This window comes from Homo sapiens, chromosome 21 (genome assembly GCF_000001405.40).
Source record: "Homo sapiens chromosome 21, GRCh38.p14 Primary Assembly".
In the NCBI taxonomy this organism is placed as follows: domain Eukaryota; kingdom Metazoa; phylum Chordata; class Mammalia; order Primates; family Hominidae; genus Homo; species Homo sapiens.
The window spans coordinates 17,244,972-17,272,027 of NC_000021.9; the positions used below are offsets into that span (position 1 = coordinate 17,244,972).

Here is a 27,056-nt window from a genome sequence, read left to right on the forward strand (position 1 = left end):
AATGAAAAAATATTTTATACTCATGGATAGGAAGACTTAATATCTTGAAAATGGCTGTACTGCCCAAAACAATTTATAGATTCAATACTGTCCCCATCAAGCTACCACTGACTTTCTTTACAGAATTAGAAAAAAAACTACTTTAAATTTCATATAGAACCAAAAAAGAGCCTGTATAGCCAAGACAATCCTAAGCAAAAGAAAACAAAGGTGGAGCCATCATGGTACCTGACTTCAAACTATACTACAAGGCTACAGTAACCAAAACAGCATGGTACTGTTACCAAAACAGATATATAGACTGATGGAACAGAACAGAGCCCTCAGGAATAATGCCACACATCTACAACCATCAGATCTTTGATAACCCTGACAAAAATAAGCAATGGGGAAAGGATCCCCTATTTAATAAATGGCATTGGGAAAACTGGCTAGCCATATACAGGAAACTGAAACTGGACCTCTTCCTTACACCTTATACAAAAATTAACTCAAGTTGGATTAAAGACTTAAATGTAAGACCAAAAACCATAAAAACTCTAGAAGAAAATCTAGGCAATGCCATTCAGGACATAGGCATGGGCAAAACTTCATGACTAAAACACCAAAAACAATAGCAACAAAAGCCAAAATTGACAAATGGGATCTAATTAAACTAAACAGCTTCTACACAGCAAAAGAAACTATCATCAGAGTGAACAGACAACCTACAGAATAGAAGAAAATGTTTGCAATCTATCCATCTGACAAAGGGTTAATATCCAGAATTTACAAGGAGCTTAAACAAATTTACAAGAAAAAAACAACCCCCTCAAAAAGTGAGTGAAAGATATGAACAAACACTTCTCAAAAGAAGACATTTATGTGACCAACAAACATATTTAAAAAAAGCTTATCATCACTGGTCATTAGAGAAATGCAAATCAAAACCACAATGAGATACCATCTCACACCAGTTAGAATGGCGATCATTAAAAAGTCAGGAAACAACAGATGCTGGAGAGGATGTGGAGAAATAGGAATGCTTTTACACTGTTTTCCCACCACTGTTGGTGGGAGTGTAAATTAGTTCAACCATTGTGCAATACAGTGTGGCGATTCCTCAAGGATCTAGAACCAGAAATACCATCTGACCCAGCAATCCCATTACTGGGTATATACCCAAAAGATTATAAATCATTCTACCATAAAGACACATGCACACACATGTTTACTGCAGCACTGTTCACAATAGCAAATATTTGGAACCAACACAAATGCCCATCAATGATAGACTGGATAAAGGAAATGTGGCACATATAAACTATGGAATACTATGCAGCCATAAAACCAGGATGAGTTCATGTCCTTTGCAGGGACATGGATGAAGCTTGATACCATCATTCTCAGCAAACTAACACAGGAACAGAAAACCAAACACCACATGTTCTCACTCATAAGTGGGAGCTGAACAATGAGAACACATGGACACAGGGAGGGGAACATCACACACCGGGGCCTGTCAGGGGGTGGGGCGCTAGGGGACGGATAGCACTAGGAGAAATACCTAACATAGATTATGGCTTGATGGGTGCAGCAAACCACCATGGCACATGTATACCTGTGTAACAAACTTGCACATTCCGCACAGGTACCTCAGAATTTAAAGTATAATAATTAAAAAAAAAAAAACAGAATTTCTGCAATACTATAGGTGAAGAAAAAAAAAATAAAACTGACAATCTTTCCAGGAACTGAATTATAAAGTCAGCAGAATTTCAGAGAAAGTAAAATTTTAAAATAGTCAAGTCTGCAATGCCTAGACCAAAACTTTGATTAGTACACATGAAATTAAAATATCCAGGTGTATGACTCAAAAATCTTAAATATGGCTGGGTTAGTGGCTCATACCTGTAATCCTAGCACTTCAGGAGGCCAATGTGGGATGATTACTTGAGGCCAGGAGTTCCAGACCACCCTGAGCAACATAGGGAGACCTTGTCTCTACAAAAAAAAAAGAAGAGAGAGAGAGAGAGAAATAGCAGGGTCAACATGGTGCACACCTGTAGTCCTAACTACTCAAAAGACAGAGTAAGAATCATTTGAGCTCAGGAGGTGAAGGTTGCAGTGAACTATAATTTCAACACCGCACTTTAGCCTGGGTGACAGAGAGAGATTCTGTCTCAAGAAAAATAAATAAATACAATAAAATCTTGAATACCTGGATTCTCTTAAACCTTCTGGGTCCACCAGAAAGGATCCGTTTTTCCTTGTAAAAAATGAACACTGCTCCCTTCGTTTGGCTTTGTCCCCACCCAAATCTCATCTTGAATTGTAACTCCCACAATTCCCACTTGTAATAGGAGGAACCTGGTGGGAGGTAATTGAATCATGGGGGCGGGTCTTTCCTATGCTGTTCTCATGGTGCTGAATAAGTCTCATGCAAGCTGATGATTTTAAATATGGGAGTTTCCATGCAAAAGCTCTCTCTTTTTGTCTACTGCCATCCACGTAAGACATGATTTACTCCTCCTTGCCTTCCACCATGATTGTGAGGCCTCCCCACCCATGAGGAACTGTAAATCCAATAAATCTCTTTTTTTTGTAAATTGCCCAGTCTTGGGTATGTCTTCATCAGCAGCATGAATACGGACTAATACAGTAAATTGGTATCAGTAGAGTGGGGCCCTGCTGAAAAGATACCCGAAAATGTAGAAGCAAATTTGGAAGTGGGTAACAGGCAGAGGTTGGAACAGTTTGGAGGGCTCAGAAGAATCCAGGAAAATAAGGAAAACTTTGGAACTTCCTAGAGACATGTTAAATGGCTTTGAACAAAATGCTGATAGTAATATGGACAATGAAATTCAGGCTGAGGTGATTTCAGATGGAGATGAGAAACTTGTTGGGTACTGGAGTAAAGGTAACTCTTGCTATTTTTTATCAAAGAGACCAGTGACATTTTGCCCCTGCCCTAGAGATTTGTGGAATTTGAACTTGAGAGAGATGATGTAGGGTATTTGATGGAAGAAATTTCTAAGCAGCAAAGCATTCAAGATGTGACTTGGGTGCTGTTAAAGTCATTCAGTTTTAAAAGGGAAACAGAGCATAAAAGTTTGGAAAATTTGCAGCCTGACAATTGATAGAAAAGAAAATCTCATTTTCTGAGAAGAAATCCAAGCTGGATGCAGAAATTTGCATAAGTGACACGGAGCCGAATGTTAATCTCCAAGACAATGGGGAAAATATCTCCAGGGAGTATCAGAGGCTGTCATGGCAGCTCTTCCCATCACAGTCCCAGAGGCCTAGGAGGAAAAGGTGGTTTTGTTTCCGGCCCCAGGGTCCCCATGCTGTGTGCAGCATAGGGACTTGGTGCCCTATGTCCCAGCTGCTCCAGCCGTGGCTGACAGGGGCCAATGTAGAGCTCAAGCTGCAGCTTCAGAGGGTGCAAGCCTCAAGACTTGGCAGCTTATACATGATGTTGAGCCTGCCAGTGCACAGAAGTCAAGAATTGGGCTTTGGGACCCTCCACCTAAATTTCGGAGGTTGTATGGAAGTGCCTGGATGTTCAGGCAGAAGTTTGCTGCAGGGGTGGCACTTTCATGGAGAACCTCTGCTAGGGCAGTGCACAAGGTAAATGTGGGGTCGGAACCCCCAAACAGAGCTCCTACTTGGGCACTGCCTAGTGGAGCTGCGAGAAGAAGGCCACCATCTTCCAGACCCTAGAATGGTAGATCCACCAACAGCTTGCACCGTGCACCTGGAAAAGCCACAGAGACTCAATGCCAACCCATGAAATCAGCCTGGAAGGAGGCTGTACCTGCAAAGCCACAGGAATGGAGCTGCTCAAGGCCGTGGGAACCCACCACTTGCATCAGCATGACCTGGATGTGAGACATGGAGTCAAAGGAGATCATTTTGGAGCTTTAAGATTTGACTGCCCTGCTGGATTTTGGACTTGCATGGGGCCCATAACCCCTTTGTTTTGGCCAGTGTCTCCCATTTGGAATGGTTGTATTTACTCAATGCCTCTACTCCCATTGTATCTAAGAAGTAGCTAACTTGCTTTTGATTTTACAGGCTCATAGACAAAAGGGACTTGCCTTGTCTCAGATGAGACTTTGGACTGTGGACTTCTGAGTTAATGCTGAAATGAGTTGAGACTTTGGGGAACTGTTGGGAGGGCATGATCAGTTCTGAAATGTGAGGACATGAGATTTGAGAAGGGTCAGGAATGGAATGATATGGTTTGACATTGCCCCCACCCAAATCTCATCTTGAATTGTACCTCTCACAATTCCCATGTGTTGTGGAAGGTAATTGAATCATGGGGGCAGGTCTTTCCTGTGCTGTTCTTATGGTGCTGAATAAGTCTCATGCAAGCTGATGGTTTTAAAAACAGGAGTTTCCCCATACAAGCTCTCTCTTTTTGCCTGCTGCCATCCATGTAAGATGTGACTTAATCCTCCTTGCCATCCACCATGATTGTGAGGCCTCCCCAGCCACATGGAACTGGTAGTCCATTAAACCTCTTTCTTTTGTAAATAGCCTAGTCTTGGGTTTGTCTTTATCAGCAGCATGAATACACCCCTTTACTTGAAGATGATGCAGAGACTTCTGCCTTTCAAGATAGCACATCTCCCTCTGAAGATTCATCTCAACCTTTGCTTGGAGCATCTGGTGACTGAAGAAGAGGCCAAATCCATGAATAATCATTATACAATGAGTGGGCAACATTATATGGTGATGATTCAACCAGTCCTTCTTCACAGAAACCTATGACCATTTACTCAGGTAATCATAAACTGGAGATAGAGAATACACAAAAATTTTAAGGTCACATTGATTATACAGAAACTCAAAATTATTCAGAACTCCATGTCAGAGTGGAGGTAGATGGTAATAAATATATTCATTTGGTCTAGTTTACAATGGATGCAACAGGGCATGGAACAACCCAGTAAGTCCTTCCTCTATCTTTCACATTCTATTGGAAGAGACATATTTAGTAGTTGTCTGACATCTTCCCAACCCCAGGATTTTTGCTTGGCATTTGGAGGCAAGAGATATCACGGGAAAGACAAAGTGGATACTTCTGTCCAGATATGACAATAAGTAGTTAGGCTGCTGGATAGCCTAAGAAGAAAATGATAACCAGCAGCTCATAGCCCACAGGGGTGAGGGTCAAGATCACCCACTGGATTAGCCACCTAGGCTAGCAAAGGTGCTAACCAAGAGTGAAGAGAATCTTGAATGGGTAGAAGAGAAATAAGAGAATAAGTATCAGTTGCAGCCTCCAGACAAGCTATTGCAGCATCAGGGCTATTTTCAACTACATATTTAAATGTAATGGCTTGGATATAGTGTGTTAAAGAAAATATATTATTAATTTTAACTTTTTTGATGTGGTGATTTGAAACTTTAAAATAATATATGTATCATGGTTGTGGCTTCCATTACATTCTTATTGGACAAGTGTGCCCTATAATATCTACATATAACCAAAATGTCATCTAAAACCTCTAATAAAAATCCATCAGTTACTAAATACATGTTTTGTAGCTGACAGAGTAAGATCTATTCAGGTGGCCACACTCTGCAGAAGAATAAAGTACACAATGCAAGCTAATGAGAATCTGAAAAAGGAAAACATCCTTTCAGCCAATTCCTTTCTCCCTCTTTAGAGGAATAGCATAAGTACTACCCGTGAAACAGGACAGAAAGCTGCAGGAATATGATTATTTATAATTTTAAAAGATCATGAGACTCTGTCTTAGATGCTTTATCTGAACTCAAAACCTATATCCATATCACCACATCACACAACTATATCTGCAGCAGTTGAATCTGTTCAGATTGTAGAGGGTCCTGCAGAGCTGCATGCATGGAGAAAATGCATCCTAAAAGTGAGAGCTCACAGTAAGATATGATCATTACATTTTAGAAACAAAGTTTAAAATAAAGCAGTGACCACAATATTCAGTCATCCACCATAAAATTATGTGCAGTAATCTCCATTTCTGGATATGGATTGCTAAATAGCAATATATAAACAAACAATATCAAAGTGCCTTTTTGGCTAACTGCCACTCTGCCACTTCTGAACTGAAGCCAATTATGACATCACTCGAGCTTCTTGTCCTTTGCTGACCTTCCTACTCATGTTGCCAAAATGTATTAAATTTCTCCTCTACGATTTGTCTTATTCCCTTTGTCTTTGTTTCTTTAAATAATGACTTGACATCACTTGACCTCAACCTACAATTTTGGCTGGTAATATCACTGAGCAATTCACTTACATAAATGGCTTTGCATAATCATCCATTGTGTCACAGAAAAATAATCGTGCAAGAAAAGGTTGAATTTGTATAATGTAGAACTGAAGAAAATTATTTTAATATTCCAAAAATCATACATCCATTTAGCAGGTAAGATGGAATATTCTATCAAGCTGTAAAAATCCAGTTTCCATGGTACTATAATTAATAAAATGTATAGTTAGTAAACCCATCTATGCATACTGTTTATTTTAGTATTGTTCAAGTGAAAGTCACTCTGTCCATTAAATCAAAAATAAAAGTGATCCAGTGAAATTGCTTGGTCAATGTGCTTGTAGTTTTTCAATTCAGAAATATACCCTAGTTTTATAAAGGATTGAAATAAGGCATACTGATCTTACATGCATTAGTCCAAGATGAGAAGTCCTTTCCCTGCGAAGGGACCTTAGGCATCTGCCAAGTTCTGGTGATCTATTACATGTAACAATGTTTTCTCTGCATTAGCTAAGGTCTTCAAGCATAATCGAAATCCTAGATATATTTGCATATCCACATATGCTAAGGAAAATAACTGTTTATCAATTTGATAAAAAATGAATCTCTTTGGCATGTTAAAAGTTTTTTCTGAAAAAAATAGAGCCCAGCTAATAAAAAATATTTTCTGATAGAATAATTATGTAATAAAATGTGTGCTAGTCTGTATTATGATGTTGACCCATAACATAGTTAGAGCTCAATCAACTATACTTGCAAAATAGTAGCACTTGTTTGTACTTCGTAGTTTACAAGTTCTTTTCACATGTAACATTCAGAATCTTGTAAAATCTTGTGACTTAGGAAGGACACATACATATTATTAGTCTGGTTTAGAGCTGAGAAAACAAAGGCCCAAGGACATGCTGTCAGAAAGGATCAAAGCCAGAACTTGAATTCAAGGTTTCTGAATCTGAATTTCAAATCCTTTCTATTATATATAACTGGAAAAGAGTATCTGGATTCTTTACCTAATAGTACCTGAAATGTGAGTATACATATTGAATAACTATGATAGGGCTATTGGGACTCACCAGTCTCAGTGACCAAATTGTGGCAGAAAAAAATAACATAATGAATGATTGGTTTCTTTTTTTCAGTGATTTGCTTTTGCAGTCATTGATGATTCTTAAGTGCCAGTCTTCCTGTGCACTATAACACAGGCTGACAGGTACTGCCTCCCCTCAGAGCTCCTAATCTAAAGGAAGAAATACAGTACATATCTGTGCATCCAGAACATGGAGAGGTGCTGTAGCAGAGTGTCAAAAAAGAATAAGCCACATAGAGAAGAGAAATCCTGAGAAAATATTGTGGTATATAATAGATCACCAGAACTTGGCAGATGCCTGGGGTCCCTTCCCAGCGAAAGAACTTGTCATCTTAGACTAATGCATATAAGATCAGTGGATCTTGTCTTCATCCTTTGTAAAACTAATGTGTAGATTTCTAAGACAATTTCTAGCTTCACATTATTATTATCCTATACTCTCATACACCATTGGAGGAGTATCAATTAGTAAAATCTTTTTGGAGAACAACTTGCAAAATCAAAAAAACATGTACACATTGACTCTGCAATTTCACTGGATCCACTTATTTCCACCTCTACTATTAGGGCTGGTCAAAGTCACAATCATGTCTTATCTGGACTATAATGGTAGCCTTCTTACACTGGTCCTCCTGCTTCCACTTCAGTGCCACTACAGTATCTTCTTTCTACAGTGATGGGAGAAATCATCCTAAAAGGCAAATCAGATGGTACTACTTCCCTACTTAAAAATCTCCTCATGATTTACGATAACACTTGAAAGAAAATTCAAATTTCTTCTCTGACTTACAAAACCCCCAGAAGTCTGTCTTTGTTTCTAATCTCAATCATTCTACTCTCTTGCATGCACCACACATTGACTACCCTGGCCTTCTTTCTGTTTCTACATTTGGGCTTTGCACAAGCTGTCCCATCTGCCTCAAATACCCTTCTGTGCTTATCCCTTCAAATTTCAACTTAAATGTCACCTCTTCAAACGGGCTGTACCTGACAACCCAATCTAAAGGTGACTACCTAACCAATCTGCAGCATATCACTGTTTTAATTCTCTGCACGGCATTATCCACAATGTGATACTTTCCTTATTTATTTATTTATACAATTAATTTTTCATGCATCTATTTTTGAATATATGTATGCATGTTCATACATATTTTCTATTTATTTGTTTATTTTTTCCTTCCCTCTATGCACTCCAGAGAATTTAAGTTTATAAGAACAGGGAATCCGGGCATGGTGGCGCATGCCTGTAATCCTAGCAACTCAGGAGGCTGAGGCATGAGAATCGCTGGAACCTGGGAGGCAGAGGTTGCAGTGAGCCGAGATTGTGCCACTGCACTCCAGCCTGGGCAGTGGCAGCAAGACACCATCTCAAAAATAAATAAATAAAATAAGAAGTCCTGTTCCATTCACGAGTGTATCCCCAGATCCAATAACAATGCCTGACTCATAATTGGCACTTAATCACTGAATTTTTAATTCTAATAATGTAACCTGTGGGCATTTTTCCATGCACTATGGTTCCAAGTATGCACAAAGAGTAAATTTCCAGCTTCCTTAACTCATGCATTAAGTGCCTACTAGTTGTGATGCCTGAAGAACTGGGAATAAAATCGGTGTGGGATGAATATCAGATGACCTAGAAGAAAATTTGAATTCACATTGAAAAGTGTGAAATTAAAAAAAAAAGAAAAACACCTAATATAAAACAAAATTTAAATGTTATATAGGGTTCATTCTGGGCATCCAACATTCATCTAATGGAATAATAGAAGAAGGAACAGAGAAGACAAAATGAAAGAAAAACATCAAAAAAAAAAAAAAAAAAACACACACAGAAAAATTCTTTGAAAGCTAAGGAAAAACAAGTCTCCAAAATGAAAAGTGCCTATTAAGTCCTAAGCAGGCAGAATTAAGCTAAGAAAAAAAAAAAGTACATGTATTTTCATGAAGGCTCAGATAAATAGGAGATTGTAAACATACCTACACACTCTTCCTAAAAATTACTTGAGGATCCACTCTAGCAAAATAAATAAGAAAATATCAAAAAGTAAAAGACAAGTGGTCCAAAAAATTCTAGAACAACACGGGAGCTCAGTAAAAAGGAGACCCAATATTATGGCTATGAAATAGACTTGAAACCAACGGATACCAATTAGAAAAGCAAATAGGAGAACTCCAGAAAAAAAATGTCTTTAGGACAAAGAATGAAACAGAAATCATAACAGATTATATGTCAAGAATCTAAAAGATCTTAATTAAGTGATAAGTAAAACAACGTAGAAGTCAATTAGAAACTCCAGTTTTAGTTTTCTGCATATGGCTAGCCAGTTTTCCCAACACCATTTATTAAATAGGGAATCCTTTCCCCATTGCTTGTTTTTGTCAGGTTTGTCAAAGATCAGGTGGTTGTAGATGTGTGGTGTTATTTCTGAGGGCTCTGTCCTGTTCCATTGGTCTATATATCTGTTTTGGTACCAGTACCATGCTGTTTTGGTTCCAGTACCATGCTGTTTTGGTTATTATAGAATTGTAGTATAGTTTGTAGCCAGGTAGCATGATGCCTCCAGCTTTGTAGAATGCTATACAAGTAATTCATGGTTCAAATATAAAATAAACTAAAATTAAGCATCATTTTGAGAAAATGATAGAAAGACAATCCATTTAATCTTGATATTTGAAACAATCTATATAAAGGAGGATTATTTCAATGACTTAGAATTATATTTATTAGCTGTAAATCCAATTACACTACCTGATTTTATAGTAAATAACACTTACATTTTCAAAGTATTGCAAAACTCTTTGCTTTCAGTATTCAGAATCAGTGTACAAAGTGCCTAAAATGATTATATTTGCACAATAAAATGTAAACTTTATACTTTGAGAGTGAAGATGTAGTTGACAGGAGTTTAGAAGTGGAGACTTGTGAGAAGCATGCCAAAAAGTATCAATTTTCTCTTTCTAAATGAAAAAAAGAACTAAAAATTTATATTTTGTATCTCGAGTTATAAATGCTACCAATAGAAAAACAAACATAATATATAATAGGTAAATTAAAGATTCTGATTCCTGTTTGATCCAGAATCAAACAGGAATGATTTTCCTCTGAAAGTTGCCTTCAGTCATACTCTGAGGTTTCTCTTTCCTTCCATTACTAATATCTGAGCACATCCTTTGGCTCTCTGGTCACTTTCACTTACAGAAACAAACGTAATTTTGTAATAAAAGACTTATGTTGAAAAGGTATACTTTTGTCTAAATCAGAATTTCAAATTTGTATCCAATTCAAACATCTCCCTTTATCTCAAGCCCCTTCTTTAGCAAGCTCTGAGCCTTGGGTCAAAGGAGAAGCTTTCATTCAACATCCTGTTACAAATGTAATCAACAAAACTTGGGGGAGGAATGGGGAAGTATAAATTAGATAAATTTACCATCTTTTATACCATGAAATCTATTACTACTCTTATAAAGTTAACATATCAAGAAATAGAGGTATAAGTACACTGCTGAAAATTATGATAGTAACCACTACAACACCTAAAAACAGAAATAAGTAGTTACCCTATAGAGTGGGACTGTGAACAGGTGATTTTTTCCTTCCATTTAATAATACCTTGTAGCCTATGACCATAGTTATGCTGAACATATATGACATTCATATGAATAAACAAGTGATGAAAGAAATAATAAAGCACAATGTTAGAAGAAGGGAGTAGTTAAGATTGTCAGATCATCAAATTTCTTTGAGGAGTCAAAGTAAAATAAGAATTGAAAATAATCATGGGATTTAGCAACATGAAGGTCATTGTTCACATTAACTAAGAAAATTTTACTGGAGTGGCCAGGCGCAGTGGCTCACACCTATAATCTCAGCACTTTGGGAGACCTGGGCAGGTGGATCCCTTGAGCTCAGGAGTTCGAGACCAACCTGGGCAACATGACAAAACCCCATCTCTATAAAACAAACAAACAAACAAAAAATCAGCCAGGTATTGTGGCATGCACGCATAGTCTCATCTACTCGGGGAGCTGAGGTGGGAGGATCACTTGATCCACCGGGTGGTTGAGGTTGCAGTGAGCCGAGATAGCACCACTGCACTCCAGCCTGGACGATAGAGTGAGACTTTGTCTCAAAAACAAGAAAATAAAAGAAAATTTTACTGGAATAATTGGTGTAGGTGAAGTAGGCTGAGAATGAGTAAGCAGTGAGAAATACAAGACAACAAATACTAACTCTCTCAAGATATTTGGCTTCAAGGAGGAGAATAGAAATAGGGCTATAGTTTGAAAGTGGAGTACATACTACTTGCAGTCTTTGACATTTTTATTTTAAGATAAGAGATACTTAAACACATTTAAATGTACATGGAAATGATTGAGTAGAGGAATCCTGGTTTAGTGACTGGGGAAAGAGAAGGTAAGCTAATAAGTTTCCTGAGAAGGATAGCAGGAATATAATCAGAAGCAAGAGATGGAAGACTGGACCTTAGCTAGAAAGAAGAATAGTACTATCTTGTACAAGAGAACTGAAGACAAAATGAAGGTAGATACATCCGTCTATGAGTACATGAATAGATTTGGTGACAAAAAGTTGAGAAGACTCACCCAGTGGTTTTTATATACTCTGTGAAGAATGTAACAAAGTTACATGCAGAAGTTTGAGGAGAGTAGAAAAGTTGTGAAATATTTTTTGCACAGAATGGGAGAGGGTTGACCAGTAAAGTGTAGCAGGCTCACTGGTCAATATTAAGGTCCAAGTAAGGAACTAATGAATGGAAGTTGAAAGCACTATGCTGAGTTCATTATTTTCTCTATGAGTGCTCGTTTGCTTATGCACATTCTTAGAGAAACCAGGTATTTCAGGTGATGAAGGGCTGGTACTTTGCCAGAGAGAAGTGATGAAAGACAGAAGGGCAAGGCAATTTTGCCTATTTTTAGAGAGGTATTGAAACTGGCGTAGATACGTAATTTATGAAAAGCAATATAACATTCTATTTTTCTCTAACTGAACTTGATTTTACTTTCAATCACCATTTATCCCTGAGGTGGAAAATTTTTATTCAAAAAAAATTACTAATGCATGGAATCTAAGCCAGATAGGAAGCAAAGTGAAGACAGTAAAGGGATAACAACAAGGGAGATGACACAAGAGAGACTAAGCCTAATTCTCACCTATGGATGATTATGGGTCTATGAATGTTCTGCCAGCCTGGTTCAGAATTGGCTCCATAACTGGATAATGCTGGATCTGAAGGTGCTGGACTCCCAAACTCCAAATAATCCATACTAGGGAAAACAGGGGCTGACAATAAGAAACTGCCAGAAGCATAAGCTGACTAGAATATTAATAAGTCCATATCTTGGCAATTATAATACCCAAAGGCCTTTCTATCCACTTTTGCCCATTTCAGTTTTGTCATGTGATTTTCATTTAGACGGAGAATAAAGATATGTGGTCATTATGCTAGTTTCACTGGATGCTTTAAAACTAATGCCACTTTCAATTCTTGTTTCTAAGACAAGTGAAATTATCTCTGGCTGCATAAGCAAGGTGGTATTTAGTAGTCTAAATCTCTCTCCTGTATTTAAAATTGGTCTCTGTCTCTAACATTAGTTATACAACTCTCTACCCTTTGCATTTTAGGTGAATCACAGCCACAAAAGCTTACTCAGCTGGGGTGTTTCCTAATCCTATCAACTCAAGTCAGAGTCATCTTTTTCCACCTACATACACTTAGCTTTCAAATCTAAAATCCAAAGAAACATTTAAATTATTAAAGTCAATCTTGTGAGACAGGATTTGTCACAATATAGGACAAATAATTTAAAGAAATTCCACTTTAAATTTGAACTTACGTTGACTAGTCAAGGCTCTTTTCCAAATCAAATCAGTAAAATAGTATTTGCTATGTTTTAGCATTTTGTTTTAATGATCATGTTTGGGCATTGTTTTTATGTTTTATTATTTTTACTACTCCCATAATATGGATTTATAATGTAACAACTATCTATTTTATATCTGCTATGCTTGAAATACTGTGTTATGTGCCCCAAGCTTAAAAAGTAGAAAGTCACAATTTTTGCTTTGTAAGTTCTAAATCCTTTGATGTGGATACACAAGTACACAAGTATACCTTACAATAGCACTTGAATTAAGTGTGGAAGGAGTCTTGAGACTGTGAACTAAAGCCGAGACAGGCAGAACTTAAAAGATGGAAAGGAAGAAGAGATATCTAATTAGGCAGAGATGAAGGACTCCAACAAAACCCCATATTTCTCAGGCTGAGTCAATGGAAGAAAAGTGTTATATCTGGCAGAAATTGGATATTTAGGAATAATGAGTTGTTTTGTGGAGGAAGGTGATAAATCTGTTTTGAGAAATTTTTAGTTTAAAGAAACTGTGGAACATGCAAATAATGATGTCTAGCAGGCAGTTGGAAATGGGTAGCCAGAGCTTTGGAGCGGAGCTGTAGATCTCGGAGTTATTTGCATGAAGCAATAAAAGCTGCTACAATCTTAATGGTGAGAATTGGATAAAAACAAATTGTGCATGGGGTGGGGTGGTGGTATGAGGATAGAAATCTGGAGCATTTGGGGAAGAAGAAAAAAACGCAACAAAAGGAGACAGTAAGGGACATAAATATGAAACTAGTTGTCAGAGATACCCAAAGAGCCAAGATAATATAAAAAAAAAATCAGAAGAGAAAAAATTTTCATTAAGAACAGTGTGATCAACTCTGTCAAATGCCACAGAGATTTTGGAAATAAATCATTTCCTAAATCACTCAGTATTGTCAATCTTGGGAATATAGCGTATGTTACTCTTAATGAGAGCTACCAATATTAATTACTTTTCAAATTAATAATTATATTTTAATTCTCTCTTCAAGTTTAAGAAAGAAACATACACATAAAAATGTATCTGGATTTGTCTGAGTTGAGCTTCTCCTTTAGTAGGCAGGGATTTGCAGGTGTCCCCAGAGGTGATGACTCCCTTCATCATTGTAATTACACACCCTTTTCTTACCATCATTTCCAAGTACATGTCACTGGTCTCGGAGCAGGAAGGCTCCTTCTCCCAATTCAGTGTCTGTCAGAAGTCTTCCCTGTTCATCAGATTTAGTCACTCAATGCCGCCTAACAGTTGGAGAAAACATTGAGAGCCAGACTTAGCCAGACTTAGCCAGACTTGTGGGCCACAGCTGCTAAGGTTCTGAAAAGCATTGCACTGAAAATTAAAACCCACTAACTGAAAAAGAAAATAAAAATTCACAGAAATTAGTTTCTAAAGATCATGGCACTTGGTTGAGGAGATATTTAGAGAATCGACCCTTAAAATAACACCACGTAAACAAGTTCTAATTTAACATATCCCAAGAGTGACATTGTACTTGAACAAGTTTGACTAAGATTATTCTGTGAATTTTTTAAAGCCATACCACAATGCTATTATTCCAATGCTAGAATCATCTTTCTAAAGAGGACCTCAAAGATTTGGCAGGTAGGGGAGTAGCCTCATGTAGTCTTTTCTCTGCATTTCAAAGATTCTCCTGTTCTAGATTGATGAGGAGATTCCTGATGCCAATATTTTCTAGTAGTCTACTTTCACTGATAGAAGCAGCCAAAGAGAAATCTTAGTGTCCTGCACACAGCTGGTTAACTTACATTTGCCTTTATAGATGCATTGTATTTTTTGTCTTTGAAAGTGCTTGATCATCTTTTCCTTTTTCAAATGCTATTTTCTTTTTTCTAGAATATGAAAATAGATGCAATTTAAGTTGGGAAAAGTCAAAGGTGACATTAAAAAATATTTCACAACTAGGTAAGTAACTGGGGCATGGGAAAGAAGGCAGTTAGAAAGGTGGGAAGGCTCTTGGGGAGGCTCAAAAGATGGCCATTTAATAACAGAGAGAGTTCAGTCGTCTTTTAACAAATAGTATGTTCTTATGGGTTCCTACTCTTTGGATTACCACCCTGAGCAAACTTTTTCTTTATATGATTCCCTTAAATCTAAACTCTGATTTGTGAAAACCCAAGAGAAGCCTTCCACATGATTTCACTGCTTGCCAGGTTAAACCTGCAAAAGATGGTGTATCCATATTTCGTGACTTGGCTCTGGCCAGTTAGAAAAAAGACAAGCATATGGTATTACTTTCCATGACTGATGACTTTGCTCTGCTGACACCTTTCCTTCCCACACTGTTTACCCTACTAATGTAGCCACACAAAAGAAGTCAGCCTAAAAATGTCCTCAGAAGCTCTCAAGTTAGATAACTCAGAAGTTTCTTGTGAACATAAGTTGAAGGTATAAAGATACAGAGTCATAGTGTTGGTCTGGAAAGAAAGAACAACCTATTTTTAGTCATGGTTAGCACGAACCTATGTCTTGGATCTTACCATTTCAAATAGCTTGTGCCATTTTTTAAAATCATGTTCACCACTTTTTGGTTGAGTCATTGTAGTCTGTAATTAGAGAGCCTATAACAAGTTTTATATAAAATTTAAAAGTACTTACTAAAAAAATAAAAGAGTCAAATATAAGAATAAATACATGGTGAGGGATAGGGAAGTGTGGTATCTACAGGAGTCAGATACTTCCTTTGTGCTTCCTAAATTAATCAGGAAAGATTTATTGAAATAAAGGGCTTGGAAACCTTCTTTCAGCTAAAAAAAAAAAAAAAAAAAAGTCTTTCAAGTAGACCAGGAGAGAGAATGTATATTTTTCCTGAGATAAGTTGGTTAGGAAAAGGTCAACCTATGTCCTCTTTGTGGCCATCTTCAGAACAGTTAGATACCGAAGAGCCCAGAGAGTGCTGTAAATTGAAAATACAATTTTAATGCATTCTCATCGAAGTTGTTTCTCTTCACCTGCTGTCTGCATGTTCTGCCTAATGTTTTGTTGTTGTGGTTGTTGTTGCTGTTTTGAGACAGAGTCGCCCTTTCACCCACGCTGGAGTGCAGTGACGCGATCTCGGCTCACTGCAACCTCCACGTCCCGGGTTCAAGCGATTTTTCTCTCTCAGCCTCCAGAGTAGCTGCGCCTACAGGCATGCATCACCACGCCCAGCTAATTTTTGTATTTTTAGTGGAGGGGGGCGGGTTTCACCATGTTGGCCAGGCTGCTCTCGAACTCCTGACCTCAATGATCCGCCTGCCTCAGCCTCCAAAACTACTGGGGTTACAGCTATGAGCCACCTTGCCCAGGATACTGTCTAGTGTTTTTAAAATGCAAATGTGATCACTTTTTATTAATGTGACCTAGACATATGTTTCATTGTTCAAGAAAAGCACTCTCCCCTTGATTTCTAAAACCAGAAAATATAAAGCTGAGAGTGATTATTTCATTCATGCAACAAATATATTTGTGTATCTATTACAGGTTCAGCCTTGTATTCATTCCATTCTTCATTTCCCACATGCGAAATCTAAAACTCAGAGATTTGAAATCTCTTAACTGAGTTCACAAATCAGGACAAATTTTTCTTAGAATACAGAAATAGTTTGAGCCTATGAAAACTAAGTCTGTTTAAATCCAGGTAGTAACACAGTTGGTTTCCTTCTTCTGAGCCTTTCAGGAAATATTAATGTAGAAAAAAATCTGCTGTTACAGACATGCAAGGTGTATCTTGCCGCATGAGAATTACTTAATGGGTACAATGCACATTATTTGGGTGGTGGCTACCCTAAAGCCTTGACTTGGCCCCCATGCAATCTAGGCATGCAACAAAATTTTACCTGTGCCCCATACCCTTATATAAATTAAAAAAAAAAAAACTTTACAAAGGTCAGGTCATCCAAGAATCAACAGCATTTAGATAGATGTTTTAGGTCCCTGTAGCTCAAAGTATGGCCCTGAGATTATCAGCACCTGGGAACTTATTAGAAATGCAGAATCTTAGGCCCCATCCAGAGTTCCTCAATTATTTCTGCATTTTAACAATATCCTCCAGGTGATTTGTATATGCATTATTAAACTTTGAAAAGTACTGTTTTAAATGATCTTGAAAATAACTTATAATCTTAAAAATGCATGAGCTAAAATGTGTGTGTTTTAATGAAATCAGGGGTATATTATTATTCAAAGTAATTCCAGTGTGAATCTTTTCAAAGTGAAGAATCTCTTTTAAAAACAAATTATCTCCAATCTATTTTGGATATTAATAGGGATTTGTTTGTACATGGACTTCCTATTGTATAAGATGAGGTCAATATAGGAATCATGGAAGCAAGAGTGTGAAGAAATAAAATGCCTTCAAAAGAATACATTGAACAAGCAATACATAAATTGCTTTTATTTAGAAATGCATTAGTTCAAAGATGATTTATACAGAATTTATTTTAATTCAGTAAGATGTTGGGTGAAATTACCTTTCACTATTTATAAACAAAGATAACTCTATATTAATTCCAAATAAAAAATTTTCATTCTTAGAGAAAAGCATTATTTTACAAATTTTCAGGTCTCTATTTACACACAAGTAATTGCTATGTAAGCAAGAGCAAGTATTGTTGTTTGTACACTCTACTAATTGCAAATGATTCTTAGCTAGTAATTAAAGTAACTTTAAAAAGACAACATTTGGTTTACTTGGTTTGCCTGGCTGTGCACATAAAAATAATCAAACCGTCTTTAAAGCCAGAAGACTATCCATGAATTTAGAGAAGTCTAAATTAGGCTGCTTTGCTAAATTTTAACTGATTACTCATTTAATATCTGTATCTTTTCTTCCCCTAAGGTCCTTTTAAAGTACTTAAGGACTATATTATTTCTAGTTTATTGACTTTTAAAACTCTAAACTAAATAGAGAGTATGACATTTCTGTCAAATCTAAATCAATATCTTGCATATAACACCAGTGTCTTAACCTATATGTGCAACATTTTGTTTTGTAGAGTAAAAATCTTTATGGCTTTAAACATCAATTTTATTACTTTTAAGTCCACATTGCCTGGTAGGTGTCCTCTGATCATCATCCTTCCAAGAATAACCCCATTTTTAGTTGCTATTTCCTATCTGCAATAAGAAGCTTTTGTGCATATTTTGAAAACTTTGCCTAAAATTAAAATGTACCCAAATTGAAACCAGTGTTTATAGTGTAATACATATCTCTTTTTAGCATTACAATGAAAATGCTTTTTTACACATGCCTGAAATTTCAACAGCTACTACGGTATTTTCCCTATCTTCCTTAAAAAAAATTATCATTCAAAATAATTCCAATTTATTTTGGGTATGAATAGAGATTTTCAATTTAGAAAATGAGTAATTTTATTGTTACGACTGTTATAGCCCCATGAAAACTATATTTTGCCAATTTCTATTGGCCTGTGTCATTTTATCACATTTAAAATCTATAATCACACTAGCAAATATAATTTTGCCTGACTTTTTAGACAGTCTCTAAACTTAAAAGTTTTCCAACAGTATGACACACAACTTTAGGGGCACATGCAGCATATGCTTTTATTGCATGTAAGTCCTTGGACTTTTATATTTATTTCATGTATTTTAAATATTTCTTGAAATCAAGAGCGTTAATATTATTAGTAACAAACATCTGTGGTCATTTTCTTCCATTTGTCACATAGCTAATACAGAGTATATAGTATTACTTTTGAGTGGCCTTATGTAACATCTCCTTTCTAAATTCCTGAAAGTAAGTTACGACCAGAATTACATACTAAAAAGAGTCAAAGAATACATTACCTACTTCTATAAATGGATAATTTTATAGTAATCTAAATAAAAATGAGACCAGAATAAATATTTTTCTAGCCTTCTCTGGAATGCTAAGCAGTGTTGGGGAGGGAGTTAATAAGAAAGAGAGTTAAAAGTAAACAGTGCTTGTAGTTTAACAGTTGTCTCTTAGGGCACTGTTTTATGAAGATCTTTCAGAAAAGAAATTTTCTTCAGATTGCTTATGCTGTGTAAATATTACCTCAGATAAGGGCCACATTTTGGGTAAATAAGTCTGCATAAACATAAGACTGCTTTATGTTGGTATCCTTAGTTTTTCTGTATTAATTCAAAATTCAAACCACAATTCCCCATAACACACTCTATAAAATGGTATTCATGACTTCATACAGCGAGGATGATGTTTTCCTTTATAAATGCCACATTAAATCTGTATATTTTTAAATGGAAAAATTGTGAGAATACCAACATAACAACAGGTTGCCCTCCATCCTCTGTCCAATAAATTCTAACTTTACGTTTTTACTATCTGACAGAAATACTTTACAGTCTTGAGGGGGGGAAAGACTGCCTTTTTTCTTGTACATTGTCTGTGTGACTTTCTGTTGAGAATGTATTATGTATCAAGGACATTAAAATTTATATCTGCATAGGACAAGTTTAGAGAGTATATTTTCTCCAAAAATAATACTAGGAAAACTTAAAAGAGAATTTTACCACATAGAAAGAAAACATGAAAATAAACTTTTGAAATATATGTGTAATTACCAAAAATATGCTGGAAACAACTAATCTTCTGCTGGAAAAAAAACAAATAACAATAAATTATATCTATTTTAAATTGACTCTGAATGTTATAGTCACGAACAAGAGTTTAGCAAACCTAGAAGGTTAAATCTTGATTTATATATGTTTTTATGTTAAAATATGTTTTTCAATTACCAAAATTAGTAACTGTTACCAAAATATAGGAATTCATTTACATAGCTATAAAAATATTACATTTAACTTAATATTGAAGTATTAAAAACAGTAGATAATCATGCTCAGACTTATTAAGAGGAAGAAAACCCTTTGTTGCCATTACATAGTTGACAACAAAATATCAGTGGAAGATTTTCTTCTTAAATAAAGCTAAGGAGAGCAAATAGCTAATATTGCAACTCTTATCTAGTCTCAGGTTATATTGGTAGTAGCTCCTTAAGCTGACTGACTTATACTCTGAAATACATTTATTTAAAAAGGACTGGGCCCTCTGTTGAATATACAATTCAATTTTAGTTTCGACTTCATTAGCTGAGGTAAATTATCACATTGGCATCCCATAATATCATTTCACTTTACTTAGAAGTCTTCTAGATCTTTCCATTCCATATAGTTAGTTCTGTCTCTCCTCTTTTCTTTTTTTTATAATTATTTTGGATGAACATTTGGGGAGGTAGAAATATTTCATACGCACACATTATATCCTATACACATTTAAGAGACTAAGTGTCTGGCTTTCTGGCTCCCAAGATGATATCTAGAAAAATTAATAGAAATTAAATCTATGCCCTACCCAGTAGACTATTAGAAGCTCTTTCCTACCGCTGTGTCCTACATAAAACACCTCATACTCCAGACTGTGAGGTCTGAAAACACAGAAAAGCAAAAACCGTGTTCAGCAATGAAAAGAACATGATTTGTCACGTGGCAGGGATTTCCCCACTGACCAATTAAAATAAGAAGCCCCATCTTCTCTTCTTTAACTAGAGGATAGTCATAACAAAGGATTTTTTTTAGTAGGCGATAAAATAGAGAGAAACTGATGAGCATCTTCAAGGCTTCTCAGGGACATTAAACATCCCCCTAACAAAGACTAGAGAGAAGAAACACACTGGTATGCTTCATGTTCTTTTGGAATATTTGGGTATCTTAGAGAGACACTAACAATTTTGTCCTATGAGATCACAGTAAAAAACTATATATTCAGCCATTTCAAACTCACTTTAGAAAAGAAAAAAGTATACAAAATGCATAGCTGATTATAGCTGTCATTTCTATTCTTTTGTATATATCACATGACACCAATGTCAAAAATTAATTATAAAAGTAGTTACAAGTAGTTACTTTTATAATTATACAGCTAAAAATGAATATAAGTTATATTTTTACTCATGGTTTTGGTGTTGTCAAAGCTCATATTTCAGCATAATCCTTTATTTGCTGTTGAGTTGTGGAGTTTATTTGGTTTTTAAGTGCAATTTATTTTTTCTTTATTTGTACATTAATTATTGAAAAAAACAAGAAGAATATTAAATAAAACCAACATACATGGAGATATATCCTGTAGTAGAATGCTTTCTTTGGCTTTCATGATTAAAATGTTAATGAAGTGGACAAGCAGTTCTTTAATAATATGAAGCAATAAACATAAGGGAAGAAGAAGGTAAAAAAATAAAATGATGTGACTCACCCATGTCAAATATTGCATACCCATCACCAAATCTAAAAACTATTCACGTAGGTATATTGTAGTCCATGTCTTTAACATCAATTACAACCCCCCCTTTCCTCAAGATTAGCCACAGGACAAATTAGAAGCTGCTCTGTGGATGCTGCTTCTCTTTAAAAACTGGTTTCCCTGAATCAATAATACTGAACTTGACCTAGTTAGAAAGTATGTTCACAGAAATAACCCTCAGTCTTCACCTGTTAAAAGTGAAGATTTATTGCTTGGGTGGCTGAGGCTAGAAGATCATTTGAGCCTAGGAGCTGGAGGATACAGTGCACTATGATCCCCCACCTGTGAATAGCCACTGCACTCCAGCCTGGGCAATATAACAAGACCCCATCTCTTAAAAAAAAAAAAAGTTTTTAATTAAAAAGTGAAGGTTTATTGACATTGTGACAACATGGATAATACAGATTAAGTCAGCAAACCATAAAGATTTTCCAGTGTGCCTAATGTCTAAAATTATAATTTAGTTATCATTTAGTAGTTCCATTAAATTATTTTCTATACAGGTAATCACGTATTTGATTTCTTTTCCAATATAGGCAATTTTAAACTCAGAGAGCTGGAACTAATAAAACCTAGGGAATGGAAATCTAAATTATAAACCATTCTTTTACAGATTCCATGATTAACCTTTGAAAAAATTAAGCCCAACCTCCAAACACAGACTATATAAAAATTATTTATAATTTGCAGGTATTAGTGGCTTAATACAGCATATATTTGCTATCAGCTTTTGCATTTTAAAAGAAAAATTAAAGACAAAAATCTTAATACAAAGTAATAAACTACTAATCATAAAATTCTCTCCTATATTCTTTTAGAACACAATGAAAGGAAATTATTTGCTTTTTATGAGAAACTGATATACTTTCTCTCCATAGATGATGAAAATAACTTTCTTTGACTACCAAGAAATATATAATCAAATTTGTAGACCACTTTTAATTTTTTAAAAAAATCCTGGATCTGTATTTTTTACCTTCCTGACCTCTTACTATAATTTATCTTTTCTCTGGTCCTGAATCTCTGTAAGCTGACTTGCTTTCAGGGGAATGACACTGTGCACATAATACAGCATCACCTGGGTCTTCCAAGATTTGGTCTCCACCATCACCTCACCACCACCCTGTCCCACCTGTCCACAAACAGTTTGGAAGTTTCCTCTTTTCAGCTTTCCTCTTTCCAAACTTAAGCTTCCGTATGTACAATGTAGCTCTCTCCTACTTAAAGAAAAATAAATTCAGAGTGATCCTCCTAAAGTTGTGAAATAAGATCAGTCTGTAGTTTTTCCATCTGTCCTCCGTTGAGTCCTCCTGGTCAGGCTCCCAGGACCTCCAACATGTGAGATTTGTGCCTCTACTTGACCCTTGGCATCGAACCAAGCCAAATTCCTCTTCAGATGTAGATGGGCAATGTTTTCTAATTTACACAGGGCTTGTACCTTACCCCATTTACTCAAATAAATAATAACACTTAAATTTTCTACATTACATGCACACGTTTCTCAAAAAAATTATCTACGGAATTTATCTTAATTGTATTTATTTTAAATATTTCTGGGAAAGCATTCCTAGGGAAGACTTCTTAGTTCCATTTATTGTCAAAGAGGAAATGGAGTGGGGCCTTTTATTTTTTGTGTGTGTTAAATATAGAGTATTAATTGGTATAAATATTCCGGGTAGAATTTCTAAATAAATTCAAAACATGCTTTGTTTTTAGAAAAGATACATATTAATGCCCTAAACCTAAACTAAAACTAAACCAGATGAAATGCTGTGTCTTAACGCAAGTCAGGCACCATTTACTTGCCTCCCAAAGTTTCCAGTCAATCTACCTTCAAGTTGCACAGTGCTTTCCATTCAGCAGGAATGGCTGCTGTTCTAAATGCTGAAGATTTTTATTTTCTCATTTATATCCTTTTAACAAGTAATTAATGGGTTTAAATACCTTCCTGCATGATTACAATTTTCTCTTATTAGCTTTTAGCTGTGTGTGATATTCAACATCCATTCCTCTTTGTTTTTAGAAAGTACTTTTTAAAAATCTGAAGTTTAAACACAGGGTATAAAATTTCTATTTGTTTTATATTTCCATAACATCAAATAATAATCTCTCTAAACTTATATTTTGAAATACAAAATACTTCCTTCTTCCTCTGGATCAACAAAATGGGTTTAATTAATCTTATGCCCTTATTTAAGGTTTTAGGAAATAATAATCGCCATTCTTTAGCAGGCAAAAATTATGGATACAGTAGTTACAATAAATTAACTCAAATGATCTCACAAATGAAAAAATTTTCCCGGTTAAGAGTGTAAAAACTCTACTGTCCTAAATTGTCTCCCAGTCACACTACTGTTACTTAAACAACATATCTCAGTAAAAGTACAGACGTCATTTCACATTTGTCAACTCACTAATTTAATAACCACATGAAAAGGCAATAGAATTATAAAACATGTCATTTTTCCAATACTCTAATGAAATTTTTCATGTATATGAAAATTCACTTACTTGATTATGCATTTTCATTACTATTACTTTGAAAATTTATCAAAACAAAAGGAGTTGTATCGTAGCCAAAAAGACTTTTTAAATATAAAATTTGGTCTAAGTAAGATAATATTTTATAATAACATGAACTACGAAACTACAACTATATATATGAAAAAATATTGATTTTGGTAAAAACTTTCCAGCTTGATCCAAAAAATTTTTTATTTTTAAAACAATCTATATCTAGTTACTTATCAACTGATTTCCAGTTGTTCAACTGACTATAAACTGCTTTTTGTTTACAAAAATAAATTATGGTAACAATTTAAGTACTAAAATATTTGAGGTTTTTCTTTAAGGTTAATGTAAATTTAGTGCTGACATTTTAAAAATTACTATTAAGATGGCCATTGATTACAATGATTAGTGAATATAATCAAAATCATGAAACCAAATTATTTAAGTGGACAAGCTGCTGAAGCAATCATATTCATTTAGAGGTGAGAAAGTGCAAGTTGTCTTTTTAACTGAAATCACAGTAAAATCAAGAAAAAAAAGAAACTCCCATTCACATTCTAAGTAAAATTACATGACCAAAAAAAGTTATTTGCATATATAAAAATGCTTTCAAACTAAGGTGGATGTGTGCATAGAAATCCCTATGAAGAACCCAGATTTTGTTTCTGGGAAAAGTTAGCACATTCTCCTGGCAAATCTTTCAGAGTCTATCATTAAATTACCAGCTATAGAGAAGGCTTTTACCAAGATAGCTAAATTTCTAGTTGATAACTTTAAGATTTGTTTAAAAAAATAACTTCAGTATTGCAAATAATAAGAATTAATTTTTCTTTCTACAGACTAAAAGGTTTTGTTATACTCCCAAATCTGTGCCATCTTCTGCCTGACACACTATTTAGAGCTGCTCTTTTGTGTTAGTTGTTTTTCAAACTTCACTAGATGATCTCAGGAACCTCTAGGGATTTAAATCATCATGAACAAATGATAGCGTCAGACTGATACGCTATTAAAGCAAAAGATAACTTACATTCGTAACACTAGTTATAAATAATAATAGGACATTAGAGAGTTTTATTAGAAGAAAAATTGCCTGAAAAACTTCCTCCTATTAGGTTAACCTTCTAGAATTTCTCAAACAAACCAAATTATTTCTGCAAAATCAAAGTCAATACCTGAGTCTGTTTATAAAAATCACCAATTCACAATGCAACTATTTTTTTCTTTTCATTTAACATTTTTAAATGATTTCTTGTCTTCTTTTGTGTTTTAGCTGAATTTGTGTGCAGCACATTGTTGCTCCAGCTTAAAAACCTCCTGTGTGGTAAATGCTTGGCAGCCCTGGGGAAGGCAATGAACACGGTGAAATTCAGTGCAGTGTGGTAAGACAAGGAGAGCATGAATAATATTTGGAGATCTAGCACACCTTAGTGGAAACAATTATTATTACAACTGCTTTGAAGACATTTGAATTTTAAACTCCATTGTTTGTGAAATTCTATTTTGACTAAATAGAGGGACTTTGTTCAGGCTTTTGTTGTCTTTAGCATGATGTGTTTCTTTCCTAAACTCCACACAGATAAGAAGATAAATTTGATCATGAATTTCTAAAAGTAGAAATCATAGGTTTTTTAGAATTAGCATAAAATTATTGTACAACCCTCCATGGGCTATCAAATTGGGAGCAATCCAATTTTATTTGCCATCATGGTCACATATAAAGTGTCAGATTATTCTTGTTAGATGATTATTGTACATTTAACTTAGAAAAGCTTCTCAGGTCTGCTCCTGAGATGCTTGAAAGACTTTTGGTTTAAATAGGTTGCATATGTTCTGCTGTTAATGGCTGACCGTTTTTATTTCATATTACTAAAATGTAATCAAGAAAAAGAGAGTAGAAAATACATCGCAAATATTCAGTCTACTATCTAGACAATTTCAAAAGCTTTCAATTTTATCTCCTGTTCCATTATCTTCAATTGTAGAGTTTGGATAGGAAAAGAATTCAAAAATAAATACAAAACATTCATTCCAATACATGAAGAAAATTAGCCCTGTTCATGTACATTTTCTAATATGGATATGTTTCTAAAAATCAGAATATAATATTTATGGAGTCATTAGTAAAATGCACTTGATTATCTAAGAATCTCAACTGCTTGATGCTTGATCAAAAACTAGGTAGAAACTAAATCATGCCTATCAACAATTAAATATTTCTGAAAAGGGGACTTCCAAAATGGTAGAATAAGAAGCTCAGCAAATACTTTCCCTAAAAAGTGACAACAGGGGTGGAGCCAAGATGGCTGAATAGGAATAGCTCCAGTCTATAGCTCCCAGTGTGAGCGACACAGAAGATGGGTGATTTCTGCATTTCCAACTGAGGTACTGGGTTCATCTCACTGGGGAGTGTCAGACAGTGGGTGCAGGACAATGGAAGCAGTGCACTGAGTGTGAGCCAAAGCAGGGCAAGGCATCACCTCACCCGGGAAGCACAAGGGGTCAGAGAATTCCCTTTCCTAGTCAAAGAAAGGGGTGACAGATGGCACCTGGAAAATCAGGTCACTCCCACCCTAATACCGCACCTTTCCAATGGTCTTAGCAAATGGCACACCAGGAGATTATATCCCACGCATGGCTTGGAGGGTCCTATGCCCATGGAGCCTCACTCATTGCTAGCACAGCAGGCTGAGATCAAACTGCAAGGTGGCAGTGAGGCTGGGGGAGGGGAGCCCACCATTGCTGAGGCTTGAGTAAGTAAACAAAGTGGCTGGAAAGCTCGAACTGGGTGGAGCCCACCGCAGCTCAAGCAGGCCTGCCTGCCTCTGTAGACTCCACCTCTGGGGGCAGGGCATAGCCAAACAAAAGGCAGCAGAAACCTCTGCAGACCTTAATGTCCCTGTCTGACAGCTTTGAAGAGAGTAGTGGTTCTCCCAGCACACAGCTGGAGATCTGAGAATGGACAGACTGCCTCCTCAAGTGGGTCCCTGACCCCCAAGTAGCCTAACT

General features: G+C 35.7%; 1 long non-coding RNA gene across 2 annotated transcripts in view; it reads left to right on the top strand.

Moving 5' to 3' along the window:
* Nucleotides 1-26,190, top strand: part of LOC107985511 (uncharacterized) — a 79,588-nt gene extending 53,398 nt beyond the window's left edge. The window contains exons 2-4 of one of the 2 annotated variants that reach the window (XR_001754975.1): nucleotides 4,551-4,770; nucleotides 15,092-15,160; nucleotides 25,321-26,190. This is a non-coding gene — a long non-coding RNA (uncharacterized LOC107985511). The remainder of the gene's footprint in view (nucleotides 1-4,550; nucleotides 4,771-15,091; nucleotides 15,161-25,320) is intronic. The other variant, XR_001754973.1, reaches the window with a different exon arrangement.
* The last annotated feature ends 866 nt before the right edge of the window (nucleotides 26,191-27,056 follow it).